Source organism: Homo sapiens, chromosome 22, assembly GCF_000001405.40.
Source record: "Homo sapiens chromosome 22, GRCh38.p14 Primary Assembly".
Lineage (NCBI taxonomy): Eukaryota > Metazoa > Chordata > Mammalia > Primates > Hominidae > Homo > Homo sapiens.
Window position 1 is genome coordinate 27149605 of NC_000022.11, and position 23103 is coordinate 27172707.

General features: G+C 44.4%; 1 annotated feature.

The window, feature by feature from the left end:
• Positions 20566 to 21765: an enhancer, noted in NCBI's record as "CDK7 strongly-dependent group 2 enhancer chr22:27566132-27567331 (GRCh37/hg19 assembly coordinates)". NCBI's record gives its function as "activates an origin of replication core promoter dependent on BRD2, BRD4, P300/CBP, MED14 and CDK7 cofactors, with strong dependence on CDK7, by STARR-seq in HCT116 cells {active_cell/tissue: HCT116}" and the evidence as "EXISTENCE:reporter gene assay evidence [ECO:0000049][PMID:35650434]".

The window sequence follows — 23103 nt, forward strand, 5'->3', positions numbered from 1 at the left end:
AAAACTGAGATTAGGGTTGGCACACAGAGGGTGATTCTATCTGCAGTGTCTTGTTCAAGAAGAAAAAAATCTGCAGCAAAGAGACCATAAGGTTAAGATTTTTAAAAGCTGGTGTTTATGATATTATCTCTATCTTTATCTGTATGTTGGAAACACTTTTCATTAAATCAGATACATTATTACTAAATATATAATATTAATCTACAAAATATTAATACCATGTAAGATTTACATACTGCCCAGGACACAGTATGCAAATGAGTTCTAGTTATTGTTATTATTAATACTAATTGCCTATTGTATGCCAGATTCTACATCCAAGGGCTCTGGCATGCTGGGTGAATCACACCTAGAAAACTAAATCCAATCCAGACACTGTAGATGCAGCTGTCGCATAGTGCTTGGCTCAGAGTAGGTTCTCAGGAAACGCGAGCTTTTGTAATTTTCTTAAAATGCTCGAACGTCACTAAGCATGCTGGCTTTGGCTAAACATGTCAGCCCTTCTGGGTGTCCCAATCTAACCAAACCAACAAACAAAGAAACCCAGAAAACCAGGCATTGAAGGGAGTCACAGAATACTGCTCCTAGCTTAGCCAGAGAGCCTGGCCCGGTGAATGATTCCATTTCTCTGGACACACGCACAGAGTACCCAACAACCAGGCTGCTCATGACAACGGGCTCCAGCTTTAACAAATGTAGCACTAGCACTATTTATTTTCCAAACGTGGTTGAGTTTCGACTCAAGGGGATGCAGTTAGGAAAAATAATGACCAGGAAACACACACACACACAAGCACACACACACACATGCACACACACGCATGCATGCACACATTGGCTCACACAGAATAAGACAACGGCAACCAGACTTCCTGGGTTAGGAGGGGCAGGAAATGGAAAAGATAAACATAAAGAAAAGGAGCTTCTTTTGTATCACTTTAAGAGGAAGAAAAAAGCCCATCAGGCATGCATGCGTGTGTGCGCATGTACGTGTGTGTGCATGTGCGTGTGTGTTGAAAGGACAGCAATTGAGTGAAGAGGGAACAAGTGTGGTTTGCTTAGAAGACGAGGGGACTTCCTTGACACCAGCCCATAATCCAGCCACCAAAAAGGTGCTTTCTGATTTGCGTTGCACAAGTTGGTTGATCATAATAAGCACACATTTCATTTTAATAATGTATTGGGCAAGAACAAGGGTTCCTCAGCCCCATTAAAACAGTGCCCCAGCCTAGCATAGCATGCTGGATGGAATGCTATTTCTGGGCTCTGGTGAAAGTGGAGCAGAGGAAGTAATTGTGCCGCTAATTGCTCCATCTCGGGCTTGGTTTACAGTGATATTAATGCCCTGGTCTCCAGTAGATCAGCTTCATAAAGAGAGAGAGAGAAATAGCAGCCCATTAGAATGGGAACAGGAGAAACTGGAGCAGGTGGGGGAGGTTCCATGCTTGGGTCTGCTTTGCCGGTTGAATTTCGCTGGTGAAATCTTGTGGGATACTGAGGGGGTTTCTTCTGAAGCCAATGGCATTTGAAGCCTCTGGGTTTGAGATCAGGCTCTGCCATTTTCAAACTATGTGCTGGTCCCCCTCTGAAACTCAGTTTGTTCATCTGCAAAATGGAGCTATGCCATCTGCCCTTAGGGTGACAATTTACAATGAAGAGTGTCTAGCACTGTGCCTGGCACACAGCCATTCATGCTGGCTGGCCCTAATTTTCAAAGGAAAGAAGAAATGAGACTCTTCAAAGGCAAGCAGTTTGGTAAGGAAGGCAAAATCTCAAATGGGGACTAATGGAAAATAGCTCAGGATTGGGGAAGGCTCTGTAAGAAAGGGAGCCAGGTGCTGCTGAGGGACTTGCCTGAGACAGCTGAGTGGGTGCAAATGGCAGGCTGAATTCTTCAAAGCACCAGATTCATTTCATAACAGTATTGACCAGTGAAAGTGGAGAAAAGAGAAAAGTTTGTTTTTTTTGTTTTTTTTTTTTTTTTTTAAGACAGGGTCTGATTGTGTCACCCAGGCTAGAGGGCAGTGTTGTGATCGCAGCTCACTGCAACCTCTGCCTCCCTGGCTCAAGTGATTCTCCCCCCTCAGGCTGCTTAGTAGCTGGGACTACAGGCACCTGCCACCATCACTGGCTATTTTTTAAAAATTTTTTGTAGAGATGGAGTTTCACCATGTTGCCTAGGCTGATCTCGAACTCCTGAGCTCAAGTGATCCACCTGCCTCGGCCTCCCAAAGTGCTGGGATTACAGGCATGAGCCACTGTGCTTCGTTGAGAAAAGCTCTTTGTTAACCTCCTAATGGGTGCTTTAACCGTCTCATGTAATATTCTGTCCTTATAATGATGCTATTTTCCTCTTTTCCTGACATCTGTTGATTCTGCCAGCCCAATTTCCAATCTTCCTTCTTTATGCTAAAGATATGTTGATTTTCTTCCCGAAAAACATTCTCATGTGCTTCTAATAGGGTTGTTCTCTGACTGCTATGGGAGAGCAGGAGTCCAGCCATGGTTTAGCCCTGATTAATAAGTGCGTTCCATTCCTCTGGTATTAGTGATGGTCAGAGAGATGGGCATGTGATAAATTCCAGAAATGAGACTTGATTGCAGGACTTTAGCTGTGACTATCAGGAAAGGGCTGTTTTTTCAATGACAAGGGCTGAACAATAACAGGATGTAGGCTTAGAGTTATTGGCATCCCCTTTGTCATCATGAGGGAAGGTCCTGCCTAAGAATGAAACCAGCACAAAGAAAGCAGAGTGGAGATGAGATACAGTTCTGAGAACACTCTGTGAGCACCTAGATCCAACCATATCTGAAGCTAGTAGAGCTTTTGATTTTACAGTTCTGCGAACTAATACATTCCTCGTCTCTCACGCAAGTTGAATTGGGTTTCTGTTACTCAAATCTGAAAGGATCCTGATGCATCCAATTTTTATATGGACAATATATCACTCAGAGAAGCTAGGAAAATATACTTGCCTGGAACCACACAGCTATTTGATAGAGAAGCCATCATCAACCAAATTTTCCTGAATCCTGAATCCATAATCCCAACCACTGGGTAGTTCTGCTACTGACATTAGAGACTGTTTTTCATTGCTGTCATTGTTGTTGAAAATTTAGGATGGTAATAGCAATAAGTCAGTTGGAAGAGAATAATTAGCTACTGTTGCTGCCATGACTTTTGTACTTTATGATTCTTCCAGGCCTCACTGGTTCTGGAGGTGATGTTTGCTAATTGTGGCCACATTGACATTCAGGGGCATGCTGAACCATGTCTTGAGTTTCTTTCAAATAGCCCTCATTTGCCTTTCTATCCTCAACCACTAACCCTAAGGGCCAGCTGGAGGTAGATTTTTTAAAAATATTTTTTCTTTTCATATTTTTAATATGATTTTATTTGTAAATAGTTTATGATTCCCAAGAAGTTGCAAAAATTGTCACGAGAGTTCCTATGTACCCTTCACCCAGCCTCCCCTAATGATAATATCTTACATGACCATAGTAAAGTTATCAAAACCTGTAAATTGACATTAGTATAATACTATTAATTCGAAAATAACCTAATTTGGATTTCACTGGAGATTTGTTGTTGTTTTTTTTTGTATTTTTGTATTTTTTTTTTTTTTTTTTTTTTTTTTGTAGAGACAGGTTTTCACCATGTCACCCAGGCTGGTCTGGAACTCCTGGACTCAAGCAGGACTCAATCAAGTGCTGGGATTACAGGGATGAGCCACCATGCCCAGCCCTGGATTTCTATACTTTTATGTGAACTTTGCATGTGTGTGTGTGTGTGTGTGTGTGTGTGTGTGTGTGTGTATAAAATTCCATGAAATCCTATCATATATAAATTTGAGTAACGATTACCATGACCAAGATACACAACTGTTGATCATCACAAAAAAACTCAGGCTACCCCTGATAGCCACACCCCACCCCAACCACTCTTGGTAACCACTGATGGGTTCTCCACCATCGTAATGATGTCACTTCGAGAATGTTATGGAAATGAATCACCCAGCCCATCGCCTTCTGAGACTGGCTTTCTTTCATTTGCCATAATGCCTTTGAGATCCATCCAGGGTGTTGCATGTATTAATGATCTTTCCCTTTTCATTGCTGAGTAGTATTTCATCACATGAATGTATCACAGTTTGTTTAAACACTCAACTATTGAAGGACATCTGGGTTATTTCCTGTTTGGGGCTATCATGAATAAACCTGCTACAAACTTTCATGTATAGATTTTTGTGTGAAGATAAATTTTTGTTTCTCTACAGTAAATATCCAGGAGTGAGAATGCTGGGTCATATGATAAGTGTATGTTTAACTTCATAAGAAACTGCCCAGCTGTTTTCCAGAACATTTCCCCAGCAATGGAGTGTGGGGCATGTAACCGTCTTGTCCATCTTCTCTAGATGAGCAGTACCGCACTTGGAGATTGTCCCTGGATCACAGAAAACATACTCTTCTGCTTTAGTAACTGTACTCAGAGCAAACAGGAAATGAAATCCAGACAAGCACGGTGGCTCATGTCTGTAATGCCAGCACATTGGGAGGCCAAGGAGGGAGGATCACTTTAGGCTAGAAGTTTGAAACCAGCCTGGGCAACATAGGGAGACCCCGTTTCTACAAAAAAATAAAAAATAACAATTAATGGGGCATTGTGGAGTATACTGTCGTCCTAGCTACTTGGGAGGCTGAGGAAGGAGGATCACTTGAGCCCAGGAGTTGAAGGCTGCAGGGAGCTATGATTGCATCACTGTACTCCAGCCTGGGCAACAAGCGAGACCCTATTTCTAAAAATAAAAATGAAAGACAGACATGAAATTCAAAACTTGCATCCAAAGCCAACTTTTATTTAATTTTTTCCTCATTAGAAGCACAGTGCTTACTCACAATAAGAATATCTGGCAAAATTTAGCAAAGGATAAAGAAGAAATAAAAGTCTTCCACAACTTCACACTCAGGACAAAATCACAGTTTCAGGGTTGAAATCTCAGAGCTCATTCCAACTCCTTTAAATCTCCACATCTTGCCATCCACCCTCCCAGGTAAATGCAACATTCCCTTTTCCCTTTAGTTAAAAAAAAAAAAAAAAGTGGAAAACAAAACAAAACAAAACAAAACAAAAAAATCGGAGGGGAAATAACACCCAAGGCCTTGACCCTTTTCCTCTCCTATCGGCCTGCTCTTCAGCAAACAGGAGTTTCCTTTTACAGACCTCAAGAATAGACACGTTTCTCGTCTATTCCTGTCGCACGCCTCAAGGTTGCGCGGCCCGTTCTTATCAGCAGAAGGCACCTGGTGCATTGTGGGAGAGCCGGCTGGGTGGGAGCCCTTTCCAGAGAGGTTTCCTCCTGCTAGGCCCCTGGTCAGCCGCCTTGCTGACCCGGAGTTGATTATTGCTTCTCCTCACAACTTCCTCCTCCACCACTTTTTCTTGATTAGAGGATCCCCAACCCAGGAGAGACACCCTCTGAGAGTGTCCCCAGAAGGCCCTTAGCCAGGAGGCATTTGTAAGAAAGTTTAAGCTGTTCATTGAGGGGAGAGGGCAGCCTCTAGGGGAAATAAGAACATCCCAGGGTCCACTCAGTCCCAGCAGCGTAGACTCCAAATCTCGGCAAATGTGAGATTGGTATAGTCTTCCCAGGAGCTCCAGTGTTCTGATGATCCGAATTTTTATTTTATTTTATTTTTTTGACATGGGGTCTCATTCTGTCTCCCAAGCTGGAGTGCATGGCACAATCATACCTTACTGCAGCCTTGAACTCCTGTGCTCAAGCAATCCTCCTGCCTCAACCTCTGGAATAGCTGGGACTATAGATGTGCACCGCCAAGGCTGTCTAATTTTTTGTTTTTTGTAGAGATGGGGTCTTGCTATGTTGCCCAGGCTGATCTCAAATTCCTGAACTCAAGAGGTCCTCTGTCTCAGCCTCCCAAAGTGTTGGGATTATAGATATGAGCCACTGCACCCAGCCCGATTTTTATTATATATATATAATTTTTATTATATATAATAAATAAATAAATAAATAAATATATATATATATATTTCCCATGGTTGGGGATATTCGTTCAAGTTCATGGTGAGAATTCTAATCTGAGAGTGTTTTGCAGTTTTCAAAAGCTCAGGCCCAGTTACTCTCCCATTTCATCCTTAGAATAACCCTTAGCTGAAATTGCTATTATTTTTCCAGTTTTATAAATGAGATACAGGATGGAATAACACAGAGGGGAAAGGACTGGCTCAAGATCACCCAGCCAGGAAGTGACAGAACCAGCATTCTGAGCCAGCTACGCCTGGCTCTGACTACCGGCTATTTCCAACACCCTTCTCCTGGGCCTCAGTGTCCCCATCTGCACTAAATAGGGCTTATTCTTGATCATCTCCATGGCTCCTTCTCATCTGAACTTTTGATGACTCTGCTTCAGGATCAAATATTTGCAAAATCCAGCTCAATATGGGGCCTTGACTTCTGGAACTGAAAACGCGAACAAAGTCAGCTGAGACTTTGCCAAAATGGGAGAAATTGGCCCAGACCCACTCCATCACACACTGATCATGGCACCTGCAGGGAAGGTCAGGCAATCAGACAGGAGAGGAAGGGAAAATGAGATACCAGAGCAATGAGCTTACAGCCATTTTAGGGCTTTGGGGAAAAAAAGTCACAATTAATATGAAATATTCTGGGAGAATGGAAACTTATAACAAAAATCATCAGAAAGCTCCTTGCTTAGGAAGACCATACTTAACATTTAGCTCAAACAGTTCTAACCATCTCTCTCACATATGTGTTTATAGATGAAGAGCCATGGTTTTCAGACATGGCAGCCCCCTCATGTCCCATCATGGTTTGACTTATGCCCTTGGATGAATTCCTTCTTGTGCTCATAAGTGGCCATCTGATGTTCGTGGTGTCAGAATATTCCAGTACTTAAATACAGCGCAATATGTCAAACTAGTGCCTTAGTGATGGGTCTTTCCATAGTTTTCAAATGCTTGCTGTTATGATCAACCCAAAACTGAAATGAGATTTAGATGAAAGATATTGTAGGTACAGATCGCAATATAAATGTGTGTATAGGTAACTAGATTGATATTTAAAGAAGATTTTAACCACTGGTATCAGATTTTACCTTACACTGAGGACTGGCTTTTGGCGGGGGGTCAATGTCTTAACAGCTGATCAATTTTAAGGTGAAAGGTGGAGCCTGAGATTCTCTCTTTAACTTATGGGGCCCAACCTAGGCCGAATGGCAGGTACAGAGTGGGTTCTCTGTAATCATCACTTTCTCCTTTTTTCTTATTCCAGCCTCCCTTTGGAGACAACAAAGAGGCAGCTCTCATTGAATAATTCATTCAAAAATTCAAACAAGGACTTCACACCTCCCATGTGCCAGATTCTATTCTGCATTTGGGATGTAGCCATAAAGAAGGCAGGGCCTTCACTTCCAAGGGGCTTGCAGGCGAGGGAAAAACGCCCAGATGAACCTTGAGGTGGGGTTGAGCTGTGGTGTGAAGAGTTCATTCAAAGAGGCACGCACAAGGTCAAGGGTGACGGATGCTGCTTGGAGGTTTTGGGGGGTAGGTGGCAATGGCCAGTGAACACCTTCTAGTGGAGGAGACGCCAAAGCTGGGCTGGGCGGGAGTGGGTGGTGATAGGAATTTTCGGGAGGAAAGTGCATCTCAGAGAGATGGAAGAAAGTGGTAAATGCAGGGGACTAAGGGAAAGGGAAAGTGGCCAGGCACAGTAGCTCCTTTGCAAGTGGCAGGTGAGCAGGGCCCCCATGGTTCATTACATTCAGTAATGGAGGCAAAAATAAGATACTCACAGGAGCTGGGCTGGGAATAGATGGTGAACAGGAGTCACCCATCCTGTTTCCAGGGCCCGCTGGTGCCAGGCACCAGTGAAGGATGTCCCATGAGGGTGTGGGTTACATGTGGTCAGCTCCCGTCATTTCTCAGGAGGTGGTGAAAATCACAACTTTGATGCGAACACCTCCTTATTTTTAAATGTTGGCAAAGGATTCGATATAAAAAAATGCACTGAAATTTTACAACTACTGTAAAAACAACCCCCCACCCCCCAACCGCCGGCCCCACCCCCAGCCCTCACCTCTATCCTAAAATGCGGTTTGGCTACACAGAAGGCATCCAGGGAGATAATTCTCCCAACAGGGACCCAGTTGGCCAGCTCATTCCTGACACTTCCCCAGGGATTTGTGACATTAAAAGACACTCTCCAAATATAAGCTTCAAAAAAGAGACCTCCCCCCCTTCCATGTGGCTGGGTTTATTTTTAAAGCGAGGCTTCCTTGTCTGTGTTCAACTCGATGGGTGGAGAAAATAATTAGAATTGATTTCTCTGCACCCACTCAGGAATAGAATAGGAGGCAACTTTAGTATCTATACACAGGAGAAGAGAGGAGAAAAAAAAAAAAAGAAAGAAACTTCCTTCCAATCCGTGTCTAATTCCTTGGATAGTCTTCTCACTCCTTGGACTGTTTTAGTGGTGCCTTTTGATTACAACATTGCTTTGAAGAGACACTAATTGTACCCTGCTTACAATGCTTGTAATTATGCGTATTACATTTTGATTCATTTCCATATGTCAACACCACTACGAGATGGGGCGGGGGGGCGGTGGGTGGCTGAGAACCGCTTTTATAATCGGTTATTGTCTATGAAAAAAAATCTGCACAGAACATGAGTGAAGTGTTCTTTGTTGAAATTGGAAATAAGATTATACATAAAAGTCGTCCTCTGACATCCAGAAAATGGACAGTTTAAAATAAATTGCAGCTGCTGATCAACAAGATTGCTAGCTCCCCTTTTCCCTTTTACGTTAATGAGGGAAATACTTTTCAAGCTTCTAATAGCAATATGTTCAAGTGTGTCATTTCAATCGCTTTCTTCTTAATAAAAGATGACCCCAATATTCCCCCCTTAGTGGAAGACATTGTCCTACCCAGACATATTTGTGATTTGAGGCTCCCCGTGGAAAAGAAAAGAAGGAAAGAGTAAGGAGAGGAGGGGAGTCCCAGGAAAAGAGAATGACAAGGGTTCCTAAGGGTTCCTAAGCTTGCAGAAAGAGAGTATCCTAGTAAGAAACAGAATTGGAGCCCCTATGCACGTGCCTGTAGTCCCAGCTATTCGGGAGGCTGAGGCAGGAGAATCGCTTGAACCTGGGAGGCGGAGGTTGCGTGAGCCGAGATCGCGCCACTGCGCTCCAGCCTGGGCGACAGAGCGAGACTCCATCTCAAAAAAAACAAAAAACAAAAAACAAAAAAAAAGAATTGGAGCCTCTATGGTCTGAAGGGAGGTAACTCTGAACCAAATAATACATAAATAGTCCAAACACAAAAGTAGCCTGTAAAAGCCTGCGTGTAGGTAGGCGTCGCTTCCTGCTGAAGGCTTTTCCTGAGCACAGATACCTTTCATGCCTGAGATGAAAGGACATCTACTTCTTAGCCCACATTTCCACATGGAGGCCAGAGCAGGTTGTTGCCTGCAACTCTGGACCCTGGAAGGTGCTGAAGGTTAGCTCGGGATTGCAAATCTTGAAGGTGCGAGTGAACAGAGGGGTGAGGGCTTTGAAGCAGGATTTGCAAAGGGCTTGGGGAGGGCGTGGCTGAAAGGAAAGGACATGGGTTCAGGGTGGCCCTCTCATATCACCACTTATGCGCTGAGTGTTCTGGCCAAATCGCGCCCCCCTCCCAATTCGTATGTTGAAACTTTAACTAACTCCCTCGAGTAACTGTATTTAGAGAGAGGATCTTTTAAAAGGTAATTAAGTTAAAATGAGGTCTTTGAGGTGGATCCTAGTCTAATCTGATTGATGTTTTTTTTAAGAGACGAGCATGTACAGGAAGCACCCGGGCTGTGCACACACAGGAAAGACCACGTGAGGACCCAGCGAGAAGGCGGCCATCCCCAAGCCAAGGAGAAAGGCCTCAAGAACAAACAAATCTGCCAACACCTTGATTTTGAACTTCCAGCCTCCTGAACTGTGGAAAAATAAGTTTCTGCTGTTGAAGCCTCTGAGGCAGTGGTATTTTCTTATGGAAGCCCCAGCAGACCCCTATGTGACTTGGTAGCCCCATCTGTGACTGGAGAAGGTGAAGTCCACCGGCCCTGGTGCTGGGAGAATCACACTGGATGCTGAGACTGGGCCTCACTAAGCTCACAGGTGGGAGATTCTGGGTAAAGAGGTGGAATTTGTGTCACAGTCAATCAACGTGTTCAGTGACAATAATAACAGAAACTACCGTTCATTGAGTCTTTGAGTGTTCGCCTTGAGCCCGTGTTACACAAGGGCTTCCTCCCTTAATCCCTCCTCCCTGTGAAGTGGGTGACTGTTGTCCATACTCAAGGCGGGAATCTCATAAGTGGCCAACTGGGATTTGAAACCATTTCAGCTTACACTGGCTCTTTGTAGTTTAGTATCTCTTGGGCTGAGGTGTGAAAACTGTTCGGACCTTTTCCCCTGCCAATTGAAAAAACAAACAAGTGTGAAATGGGGCAGCCCCTCTTCAGTCTCCTCCCCATCCCCCATGCCGCCTTCCACCTCCCAGGCACTGAATGTCTTCCTTTTGATTCCCGAACCACCACAATGGGAATCCAACATTTTCCCTCGCCTGGAGTTTGGAATCCAGGCTCTGAGCAGAGGTGAATTTCTGATCTGTAACATTCCTGAGAGTGTATCATTTTGGGAAGCGCAGCTGCACAGTGAGCATCCGTGGTGAGCTTTGCATGCTTTGGGGGCACAAATGTGGTGTTTTGCAATTTGGTCTTTTCACAGGACCGCACGTGGCTTTCAGCCTCCTGCCCTGTCACTGTGTGGGACAGCCTCTGGGGTCTTTGCTCTCTGGGATCAGCTGGCCCTGCTGAGAGCCTCAGCTAAACATTCACAGTAACAGTATGGTCTCCCCCTTAAGCTGTGCTTTGAATAAAGAAAGAGACACCCTCAAAGATGTCCTACAGGCAGTGAGAAAGACATCCCCCCAGCCAAGCACTGATCTGTGAATTTGTTCTCAGCAGTCCTGGCTGTCTCCTATGAACTCCAGCCCCCAGCCTATGGCTACTAACATTACTGAATAACAGCAGCTAGCCTTCACTGTTGTGCAGGTCTGTGCTAGAACCTTAGACTCAACAGAATGTGTAAGGGGAGAGGCGAGGATCCCTGTTTTACAAAGGAGAAGACTGAGGCTCCGAGAGACATAGCAACATGTGAAGGTCACACAGGAGCATAGGGGAGCTGAGCTGGGATTTGAACCCAGGTCTGTCTGACTCCAAAGCCCATGCTCCAAATTGTTGGGCTGCTCTGCCATTGGATGCCTCTCTGCCTGGAACCTGCATGCAAACCCCACTTGGGCAGGGAGCCTCCTGTTCCAGTTGGTCCTGACCTTTCCACCAGTTTCCCACAGACTCCAGGGCCATCCTTTCAAGTGTCTGTGCCCTGGCTGCTCTTGGATTCTCATTTTGCTGCCTCTGTCTCCTCTGTGGTCACAATGTGGACAGGACATCCCTGGGCCTTAAGGCCCCTGACCTCACCCCATCTTGATAGAGACCTGCAGGAGTTCCAGCACTGTCCTCCAGCTGGCTTTTGGCCTCTGCCTCATCTGTGTTTTTTCAACTTGTGATCCTTCATATCTCGTTTTGCCTGCAGCTTCTATGCTAATGTGTATTGATTGGGTTCCACCTCGCCTCCACCATCCCCAGGCATTGCTGGGGAGGACAGAAGGGCCTCGGTGGTGCCTTGAGCACCACAAGTTCAGGATCCATTCTGTTTCATTCATCTCTGAGCCTCTCTGCCCTCCTTCAGTCCTGATTCATGCCTAACAAATAGAAGCTCAGCTTACACTGTTGTTATTATCCATTCATTCCTGCCACAGCACCTACTCTATGCCAGACAGTGGATTACATGCTACGGATACTGCAGGGGCCAAAAGAGATAGATATCCCTTTCTTCATGGAGCTTCTATTCTAGTGGAAGGATGGTGATGAGGAATAGAAAGTAGGGAAGAAGGAGGAGGAGTAGGAGAAAGAAGAGGAAGAGGAGAGGGAGAGTGAGAAGGAGGAAGAAGAGAAAAGGGAGAACAGAGGAGGGAGAAAGAGAAGAGAGACTTTTGCATAGAAATATCACAGACTATCAAAAATTAGAAAATGTCCACAGATATTGCCTTGTTCTTCAGTTATTCCTCTCTTTTCTATTACCTTATCTTACTGGGTTTTCTGTCAACATTGAGTCCATACAACATGTTTAACCATTAAAAAAAAAAAAACTCAGAGTTTCTGGACTTGATAAGGTGGAAACCATGGTCTGGCCTAAATGATTAATTTTACCAATGGGGAAGTTGAAACCCAGAGAGGGTGAGTGACTTGTCCAAGGTCACAGTGTATGAGGGACAGAGTGGAGACTGGGATTCTGGGATGTCTTCTTTTCCTGTAAGTGTAGATTCTCAGGAAGTAATACCCCACAGCAATGTCAGAGGGGAGGGCCCCAGGCAATGCTTGAAGACTTATACCCCACAGCCCTCCTGGGACTTCAGCCCTGATTATGGAGGACAGTTCCAGACAGCTTCGACTTGGGCCATGGTGCCCACTTCATGCACAAGCTGGGAGGCTTTTTGCTTTTTGCCTGGGACAACCATGGGAGTACCAACCCATAGAAGAACTGGCCCCACGGTCAACCCTCAATGATAGGGTCCTGGAGTTGGGATTCAACTCCCCACTGTCTGATCCCTGGATGATCAATTCTGAGAGGTACCCAAGGAATAGAACCCACATTCGCAGCAGTGACCATGACCATCTCCCTAAAATTGGTCTTTCCTCCTCCCCATTTCTCTCTCCCTGTTCCCACACTCCTGTTTCCCCAGCATCATCCTTTGAATAAGCCACTTGCATCCCAGCCCAAGTCTACAATTCAGGATTCATCCACCCAACAGATATTCAAGTGTCCACTGCATGTGAGACTCTCTTCTAGGCAGTGTGGCCACGGCAGTTGGCAAAAAGGTGCAGATTCCAGCCCTTGCTGAACAGACATCAAATAAGTTGATGCCCTTTAAATAAAATTTAAAATAAAATTTAAATAAAATGCATAATACGCTAAATGATGCTACCAGCTAAAAGCAAAATAAAGCCAAGTTAGAAGGCTGGAGAGTAACAGAAGATGCTACTTTGGAGAGGTGGTCAGGAAAGGCCTCTCTGAGAAGAAGTCATTTGGACAGAGACCAGAGGAGAGGGAGACAGGGAGCCATGAGGCTATCTGGAGGATGTTCTAGGCAGAGGGGAAAATAAATGCAAACAGGCAGAGGTGGGGGTTCCTGGACAATGAGGAGAAGACCAAGGTAGGGTGGCTGGAAGCTAATGAGCAAAGTGAGAGTGATGAGAGAGGTGAGAAAACCTGGTGTCAGAGAGGGAAGTAATCCCCAAGGTCACACTGTAGGGCTAGGAGTTGAACCCTTTTCCCTCTGAGTCTTTCCTCCACAGCATGCCAAGCATGGCCTTCAAAAATGTTGAGAGGAAAAGAGAAGAAATGAGAGAGGGAGGAATGGGAGAAGGGAGATAAAGAAGGGAAAAGGGAAGGAGGGAGAGAGCAAGGAAGGAAGGAAGGGAAATAGGAAGGAAGGAGGAAGGGAAGGAAGGAAGGAAAGAAGGAAGGAAGGAAGGAAAGAAGGAAGGAAAAGGGAAGGGAGGGAAAGGGGGAGGGAGGAAAGGAGGGAGAAAAGATAGATGGATAACAGATATATGGATGGATGGATGGATGGATGGATGGAAAGAAGAAAGGAAGAAAAGAAGGAATGAAGGAGGAAAGAAGAAAAATGAAAGGGAGAGAGGAAGGATGAAAGAAAAGCTGGATGGATAATGGATATATGAATGAATGGATGGATAATGTATATATGAATGGATGGATGGATGAATAAATGGAAAGAAGAAAGAGAGGAATGAAGGTAAAAGAAAGAAGGAAGGAGAGTAAGAAGAAAAGATGAATGGATGGATAATATATGGGTGGATGGATGATGATAGAAGATGGATGGATGGATGGATGGATGATTAATAGATAAAACAATGGATGGATGGATGGATGGAAAGAAGACAGAAAAGAAAGAAAGGAGGGAAACAGGAAGGGAGGGAGGGAGAATGGATTCTTTATGTATTTAACCTCCAGGTTTCCTAGACTAAATCTGGCTTCTGGAGTGTCAGGGGCTGTACTCCACCTACCCCATTGTTTCTCTGCATCCCGCACTCCACCCATCCATGCTGTTGAGCTCACTGAGCCCTCTCCCCAGAAAGGTAATTCTACCCTCTAATTACAGCACTTGTAAAAGTAGCGGAGGGGCTCATTCTTCAGAAATAAATCAATACAAGTTAAAAGGCCATCCTGTTTGTTTCTGTAACAATGCTCTTTAGAAAATTGGGTGCTGTTCCATTTGCTGACGGGTACCCCATCCGTCATCGGCAGCCCGAGTCACATCACATTATGTTGCCAAACATAATATAGCATGATCAGGAAGATGCATCAAGTTGGAGATTGGCAGGAAAATGAATTTAGCAAAGCGATCTCACTTGAGAAAATATCGAAAGCCAAGAAAGAGGAAGAGCTTAGACGAAGTTTTCATAATCAGAGGTGATATTTAGAAAGCTCCATCATGCGAGAATCTCAAGACCAAGAAAATCACAGCAATAACAATATATAATAAGAAGAACATTAATATTTAGAAGAAAAGGAAGGACAAAACCATCACAAGTGTTCCCTCCACCGAGACACACTATAGCCATGTGACAAGTTTTGTTATTCCCGCTTTGCGGTAAGAGAGCTCCTGCTCAAAGAGGTTAGGTGAGTTCTCCAAAGTCATACAGCTATTAAGCAGCAGAGCCAGGATTTGAAGTCAGATCTGCTGATGCTGGAACCGGGAGCACCAAGATGTATGGATGGGCAAGGGCAAGTTTCCCAATTAGCAAAAAACATTGCACTTGATTTTGTGTGAAAGGCCCGGAAGCTGACCAAAAGCATCAGACGGCACAGATGTCATCCATCTTTGCCAAGGAGGGATGGCTTGCCTGTATGTGCCTTCCAGCCTTGTGGTCCTCTGGGTCTATACATAAGTGGCACCAGGACTGTGTTGATTACTTGGAGGCCAACTGCCTTCATTCTAGGAAACCTAAAACTCTGCCTGGGGCTGGTATTTCTGTGGTTGCTGAGTAGGGATCTGACTTTGTAGCAAGGGTAGGAAGGTACAAGATCAACAAGCACTTTTCCTACTTATGACTCCAGCTGGGGCCTAGCTCTGCTCAAGCCAGGGCTTGGAGGAAGGTGAAGGCTCTGCTCTGCCCTTCTTCTGTCATGGCTGAGCGGTTTCTTTCTAGACTCCCTTGGCCCGTCCTTTCTGGCTGATCCAAGCTGGTGAGATGGGCGTGTGAATTTCAGTCCCTCCAAGGGGACTTGAGCAATTACTCTGACTAGGGGAATGAGGCTCAGTTTTTGCACTGGACGATCACAGGGCAGAATACTTGTAAACAGAAATAATGTGCTTTCCTTTTTTTGTGAACACTCTAATATCTCAATGGCTGAACACAGTACCAGACTCACAGTGGGGTTCAATAATTGGCAAATCATATTGTTGCTACAGTGTGGAATGTTCAACGGCAGAAGCAGGAAGAAGAGAATAATTAACCAAGCTGGGAGGAAGTGGTGAGTTTCAAGTTGGGTTTTGAGGGATGCATAAGAGTTTGATGACAGGCAGACCTATTAGAAGTAAAGACATTCCTGGAAAAGAGGTTAATGGACAGAAAGGCTGGAAGTTATGGTGTGTTTGGGGAATAATGTAATTGAGGAAGGGAGTATTCTCTGGTTTTTCAGGTAGAGTTGGAGGAGGGATAAGAGATAAATTATGAAACCCTCTTAGTAGGTACCAAGCCAGTCCATCCATGGGCAACACTACAAAGAGGGTGTAGGTGCCATATATAACACTTCATATTTCCCTAAATCTGAAGATAATTAACTAGGATGTGCAAATATATTGGACTTTAATGATTATTTTTTCCTTTCTACCCTACTTTCTTTCAAATGATAGGAGACAGAGTCCAGATTTTAGGACATAAAACTGTCCTGAGGTTCTTGTGGAAATGCAGATTCCTGGGCCCATTCCCAGAGGCTTAGACCACACCTGAAGAGATACTGCTGCCTGCAGACCTTGAGCGAGGGCCCCCTAGAGAGAAAATTCTTTATCCTGTAGCAGCCACACCAGGGGTTTGAAGCCACTGATAGACACTCCCCAAGGAGGCACCATCGTTTTAAGTCTGGAAGAAGGGAGGAGGGGTGGCGGCTTTCGATTTCATAGCAAGTATCTCGTGAAATCACAATGGCATAGTTTGCTGCACACCCATAGCGGTGCCTTATTAAAAAAAGATCATCAGGGCCCTTGAAATTGATCATAAACTATTTCCATCAATGTCACACACAACCATGTTTGGGGAAGTTTGCTGGCACATCTGCTAAACTGAAGGGCTTTGGGGTTTGAGAACAAACAAATAATAAATAAATGACTATATAATAAAATGAAGATGGGGGGACAATACCCTTTGAGTTGGGAGATAAGAAATCTTAAGAGAAAGGAAAATGATGTACCAGCGTTGTGTGTGCCCAATATCAAACTTGCGGGAATGCCCAGTGAGTGATGCAAGAATGAATGAATGAATGAATGAATGAATGAATGAATGAAGAATAGCATATTTAAAGGACAATCTGAAGGCAACTGTACCTAGAGCAGGAGCTTAAAAAGAACTCCATTCCCAGTCTCTTGTGGTTGATTTCAGTAGTTGGATATTCTCAGTGTTAAAATGAATTACAAGTTTGGGTATCCCCATGTTACCCTCCTGAGCAACTGCCTGCCTATTGAGAAGAGAGAGATGATATAAAATAAGAAAACCGACTTAAAGAAGAGAATTCCCATTGGTAGAATAGGAAGGGCCTTTGGCTGGCATTCATTCACTGTACAGATGGGCAAATGGGTCAAGCAAGACTCAGAGAGGAGAAATGTTCACTCAAAGTCACATTGTGCTAGAAACCAAGTCTCCAAATTCCTAATCCAGTATATCTTTTTTGTTTTTAACCTCACGCAGAGAGGATCCAATGAAGTAAAGCGTTCCATATCAAGTTTTTAGAACTATCTGGGGTGCACAGAGGAGCTGACAGCAGGCATAGCTATCATAGCTACTTGTGCCACCTTTGGATCTTAAGCAAGACACATGTGTAGACTGATCCTATGTTTGTTGGCACGTGAAAAAATATAAAGCAAGGGACACTTGCAATTGTCAGCGTGGTTCTAAGTGGCCACAGTATTCAGCAAGTCTTGCGGAAGGTTCAGGCTCTGGAGGCCATAGCAGAAGAGAAGACCAGAGCGGGTCCTGCCCTTGTGTCCTTTACCTCCCGCACCATCAGCACCACTCCTCTGTGCCTGGATGCCTCTTCCGTGCTTGTAAGCTTTGCGAATTCCTGCAGATGCTTAAGTGCCATCTCAAATACTCTCTACCTAGAGAGTAGTCATTCCCCCTCTTATGATCTGGAAAGACTTGTTCATACATCGATTAGGGTGTTTTCCACACTGGTCTGTAAGCCTACCCTACACATCTGCCCCACTTCCAGTCTGTGGGCATCTAACACACTGGGATTCCATGGTGCTATGCGTTCTCAGCACAGGACACATGCCTGGCACATGGTAAGAACTCAACACGAGTTTGTTGCATAAATGGCAGGCATGGTAATAAATCTGATTGCAGCCTGGGGACTGTCTCTTAACTACAGACCTCGCAAGGCTTCCTAGTGCCTCTTGGCATTGGCTACAATTGTCAGGTCAGCAGAGAAGGCTTTAGCCCTGAAGGACCATCCAGCCACAGGGGTTCAAGTGATAGAGAGGGCTACAGAGGGCACATCACTGTCCAGCATCTTCTAATGCAGTGTACCCACTCTCTACTAAAATGCAATGAGCCTCTCATAGAATGTGGCTCCATGAACAACACAGACCTCAGTCTGAGAGGCTAAGGCCTCCTTCTTCATTTCTAGGGAAGGCTGAAGAGGGAGTTCTGGACATTGGGACATAGTTCTGTCCCACCAACTATTACCACCATTTTGCAGATGGAAAAACTGAGGCTCAGGGAGGTTAAATAACTTACCCAATGTCACATATTGAGGAAATGATGGGGCTGCGGAATCAACCCTATGTCCATCTGAATCCAGACATGAACTTTCTGGGCTAAGCAGCACTGTGGGGTGCAGGAGTTGGCAGACTGTGGCTGGCACCCTGGGAGATGTGTGGCCCTGAGCAGAGCCACAGATGCAGTGGCTACACAGGGTCCTTTCAGTTACTCTCCCCACTGTAGCCTCAGAGTTCCCACAACCATGTTTGCAGAGCTGCAGGGCCTTCTGGGTACTTGCAACAGCCTAGCCTCCCAAATCTTGGACCTCCTCACCTGTAGGGACATTTGTCTCCCTATTAAATATAGAATCATATCCTTCCCCAGCCTACAAGACCCTGCAAGGCTGGCCCTGAAGCCCTCCCCAGCACCCACTCACACCACAACTCATTTTGTTTGCTGAGGACCAGTTACAGACTCTTAATAGCTCTTGGAGAAATCTATATTCCTTTCCATCGCTTGATTTTCAACCTTCATCTAAGGTTTTCCCACCACTTGGGAGGCTCTTTTCTTTCCTTTTCATCTACTTAGCTCCTATTCATCCCTCTGATCCTTCCATAAATGCCATTCCCTGATCCCACCTAAGTCAGGCCCCCTTTTCTAACCTCTCACCACCCCTCATTCTTCTTCTCCGTATCATTTGTCTCCATTTGAATTGTATGTTTATTTGTATGGTTATCTGGTGAATCTGTCTGCTCTGCTAGACTGTAAGCACCTTGAATGCGGAGACCAGGTCTGGGTTTGCCGTACAGCACAGTGTCTGGCACATAATAGGAGCTCAATAAATATTTGTTGGATGGATAGGTAAATGGAGGGATGGGTGGATTATAACATAGGTGGATGGATGGGTACATGGATGAGATATTGTAGGGTAGGTGGATAGATTGGGTGCATGAATGAATAGAGAGATGGATTTCAGGAGATGTGGATAGATGGGTGGATGTTTGGGTGGTTGGGTGGGTAGGCGGGTTGTTGGGTGGATAGATATAGAGACGAACTTTAGGAGAGGTGGATGAATGGGAGGATTAATGGATGGATGGATAAGTGGATAGATAAATGGATGTTTCATCTGGGTAGATGAATGGATGGATGGATGGATGAAAGGATAGATGGATGGATGACTGGATTAATTTTAGGAGAGATGGATGGACGGATGGATGGATGGATGGTTGGATGGATGGATGGATAAATGTAAAGATGTCTAGGTGGGTAGGTTGATGGACAGATGGATAGAGAGATGGATTTTAGGACAGGTGGATGAATAGATAAATGGATGTATGGATTTTATGGTAGGTGTATTAATGGGTTCATGCATGGATGGATAAATAAATAATACTGCTTCCCTAGACTTTCTCAAAGGAAAGTGGACATTATTCCAATATTTTATCTTCTATAAAATTATGTCAAATAGTCTTACATAAGCCATGATTGAGCCACCTAGAGCTGTTTTCAGAGAGCAGCATTCTACACATGTTTACTCAACACTCTAAGGAGATAGAGAGACTTCTGGTACAGCAGTTACGATAACAAGTTCTTCCATCAGTCTCTCTGGGTCAATTGCCTCACTCCTCTCCCCATCCCCCATCAGCTGTGGGATGTTGAATTAATGCTCTCAGTTCTTGACTTCTGTGTAGGAAGATGACATGTTCACACCTTTGCTGGGGCTTCAAGGTGTGGGGACAAATATTCCCCCAACCCTTGACTCTGGGCTTGAACATGTGGTTTCCTCTGGCCCATGGGACCTTGCCTTTTGCCATGAGTAGTTGTAGGTCCAAGGAGGATGGGAGATCAGTGGAGAAGATCTGGGGCTGAGCTCAGTCAAGACCAGTCTTGGAGACCCCCATTAACTCCTACATGCATGAGGGAGAAGTCAACACTTGTTTTCCTCCAAGATGTCTATGGTCACGTGTCATGTAACATTATTGTGGCCATACCTGACTGATACTTCAACTGTGTGACCTCTAGCAAGTTATTTAAGCTTCCTGTGCCTTAGTTTCCTCATTGGTAAAATAGAGAATAATACTATATTTTTCACCGTAATCAATCTTTCAGAGTTGTTGTGAGAATTATCTGTCATATAACACAAGTAAAGAATTGAGAACAATGCCTGGTTTATAAACGTCCAATAACTTTTGGCAAGTTAATATCATCATCCCTAAGTGACTCCATAAAAGCTGCTGATTACATTGAAGTAGCAATTTGGGGTAGACACCAATCAAGATCAAAGTCCAGCAGTAAATCAGTAGGTAGATAAATTTTCATGTTTGCAAATAATAATAGCACTTGCTGAACTCTTGTCTTATGCCCAACCCTGAGCTGAGATTACATAAGTTTTCATCTTGCTGAATTCCCAGAGCTGGGCTGTGAGGTAGACTTTACTGTTAACCTGTATTGATACATCAGGAAACTGAGAATTGGAGAGCTAGTTCACCTAGTTTGGAAGTGATGGAGCTGGGATTGAAACTGATGGAAACTCCAGGATCCATATCCATAAGCTCCATACTCCACAGCTGAGAGTTTATAGATGAGGAAACTGAGGCTCAGAGAAGGGAGATGCCTTGGCTGTGGTCACACAGCGGCTACTTGACTGAATCAGTTTCCACATGATCTTGTCAGTGCTGTAAGATGAAAGGCATCTCAGAGGGTGGCCCAGAGACAGAGAGAGGGTCTCCATTTTCCAGCTTTATTTCTGGGTGTCCAGGAATGTGTTTTGAGTTGGACTTGAAAAAGAAACTCCCTTGACATCAGAGAGGCAGTACTGGGCTGGGCCAGTGTGTGCCAAGGCTAACTGGGCATGCATTCCTGGACCAACTGCTGGAAAATGTGCAAACGTGGAAATATTTCCCCTGCTGAGTTCTGTAGTGTGCCGCTGTGGAGGCCTGCAAAGCTTGTCAGCCATGACTCACCCCTTCCACAAAGTTGGCCTGGTCATTTCGGGTGAGGACCAGGAGCACACAAGGTTGAATTGGATGTTTATGGCTCCCAAGGGACCCATCAGACGTGCTGCCTGCCTCCCATCTTCTTTCTGGCTGAGTTTTCAGAAATGTAGGTTAGGACAAAGTCCTGGAAGGAATAACAGGAGAATAAAGGGAGTGTATTGATAGAGTGCCTACTGCATACCAAGCCCTGGTTGAGCAGTTCTATATGTTATAAACTTGCTCTTTGAAGGATGATCCCAGCAGCATCAACATCCCTGCAGAGCCCGTTAGAAATGCAGGATTTCCAGCCCCATTGTAGACCTGCTGAATCAAAATCTTCGTCTTTAACCATATCCACAGGGGGTTCATCTACAAATCAGCCCTGTTAAAAATCTCATTGCATTCCCTCCAATGCAAACATGCTGACCCCCATTTTACAGAGGGAAACTGAGGCTCCGAGCAGCCAAGACTTGCAGAAGGTTCCCCCAGTGAAGGAGAGGCTGCACTGTCACCTGCAATGTGTCTATCTATCCCAGAACCCAGGATCTTTGGGGCGCATTACAAGCAAAATGGCTCAAAGCCCTGCGGTTGCAGGACCATAATAAAGAGGAGGGATGATATTGTGGAAAAAGCTTTTCAAAGTCAGCAGTTTATGTCTCAGCTCTGCCATTATCTTGCTAAGCCATCTCCCTAAGGACTCAGTTTCTTCATCCATGAAATGGGGGCAGGCATCAAACCACATGGCCTCTGCAATCATTTTTAGCTGGGAGATTTTGATTTGAGGACCCAGAGGATTGGTGGTGCTCAGGGTCTCTCCCATCTCAACATAAGGTTGAACCACACCCAACCTCCACTTTCCAAGAGCTTCCCAGGGGCCTCTCCCATTCCCCAGTCAAACAGAACTGCCCAACCGCCTCAAACGCCACACAAAATCACAGGCAACAGGGCAGAAAACCCAATTATCTCAGCTGTTACACTGCTTAATTTAATATTTCCAACGAGTTCCTTGAGTCTGCTTCTCAAGAATGAAATGCATATTTGGGCTCTGTCACAAAACATTACATTTTGTCAAGGCAATCCATTTTGCTGCGGTAATTTGTAAGTGTGCAGCGCTCTCCCTCATCACCCCACCCGCCACGTGGTCTGGAGGCTTCTATAGTGTCTTCTGGGAAGAGACAAGAAACTGGGAGTCTCTGCAATGACAGGCAGGTGGGAATGGCAGAGAAACAGGACCTGATATGCATCTGGCTTTCTGAAACTCCACAAAGAAAGAGTTTGGGGAGAACCAATCGAATCTCTTACCACTGGATTACAGAGGCAGGACCTGGATAGGTATTTAGCTGGCCCCAGATGATTGTTTAAACTTTTTAAAAAGATTACACAAATCATCATGCATAGTCATTGAAGAAAAAAATTAAAAATTTAGATAATTTTTTGAAAAAAGAAATTGCCTGCAAACTCTCACCTAGAGATGAAGGTGAGTGTTGTTAAATTATACATTTAGTTTTGACAAGTGAGTAAAAGTGATCCCCATTTTAAATATCAAAAAGTATAGAAATTAAGTTTCAAGTTAATTAATTTTTTCATTGATACATATTAGTTTTACATATTTTGGGGATACATGTGATATTTTGATACCTGTATACAATGTGTAGTGATCAAATCAAAGTAATTGGGGTAGCCATCACCTCAAAAATGTATCTTTTCTTTGTGTTGGGAGTATTACACATCTTTTCTTCCAGTTATTTTGAAATATGCAATAAATTATTGTTAACTGTAATTTTCCTACTGTACTACCTAATACTAGAACTTATTCCTTCTAACTGTATTTTTTGTACTGTTAACCAACTTGATTTATAAACACACACACACAACCAAATAGGATCTCATTCGACATGCTATTTTAAATTTTATTTTACATTGAAATAACTTCAGACTTACAAAAAGTTGTAAGAACCTTGTAGAGTTACTGTGTGTCCTTCATCCACC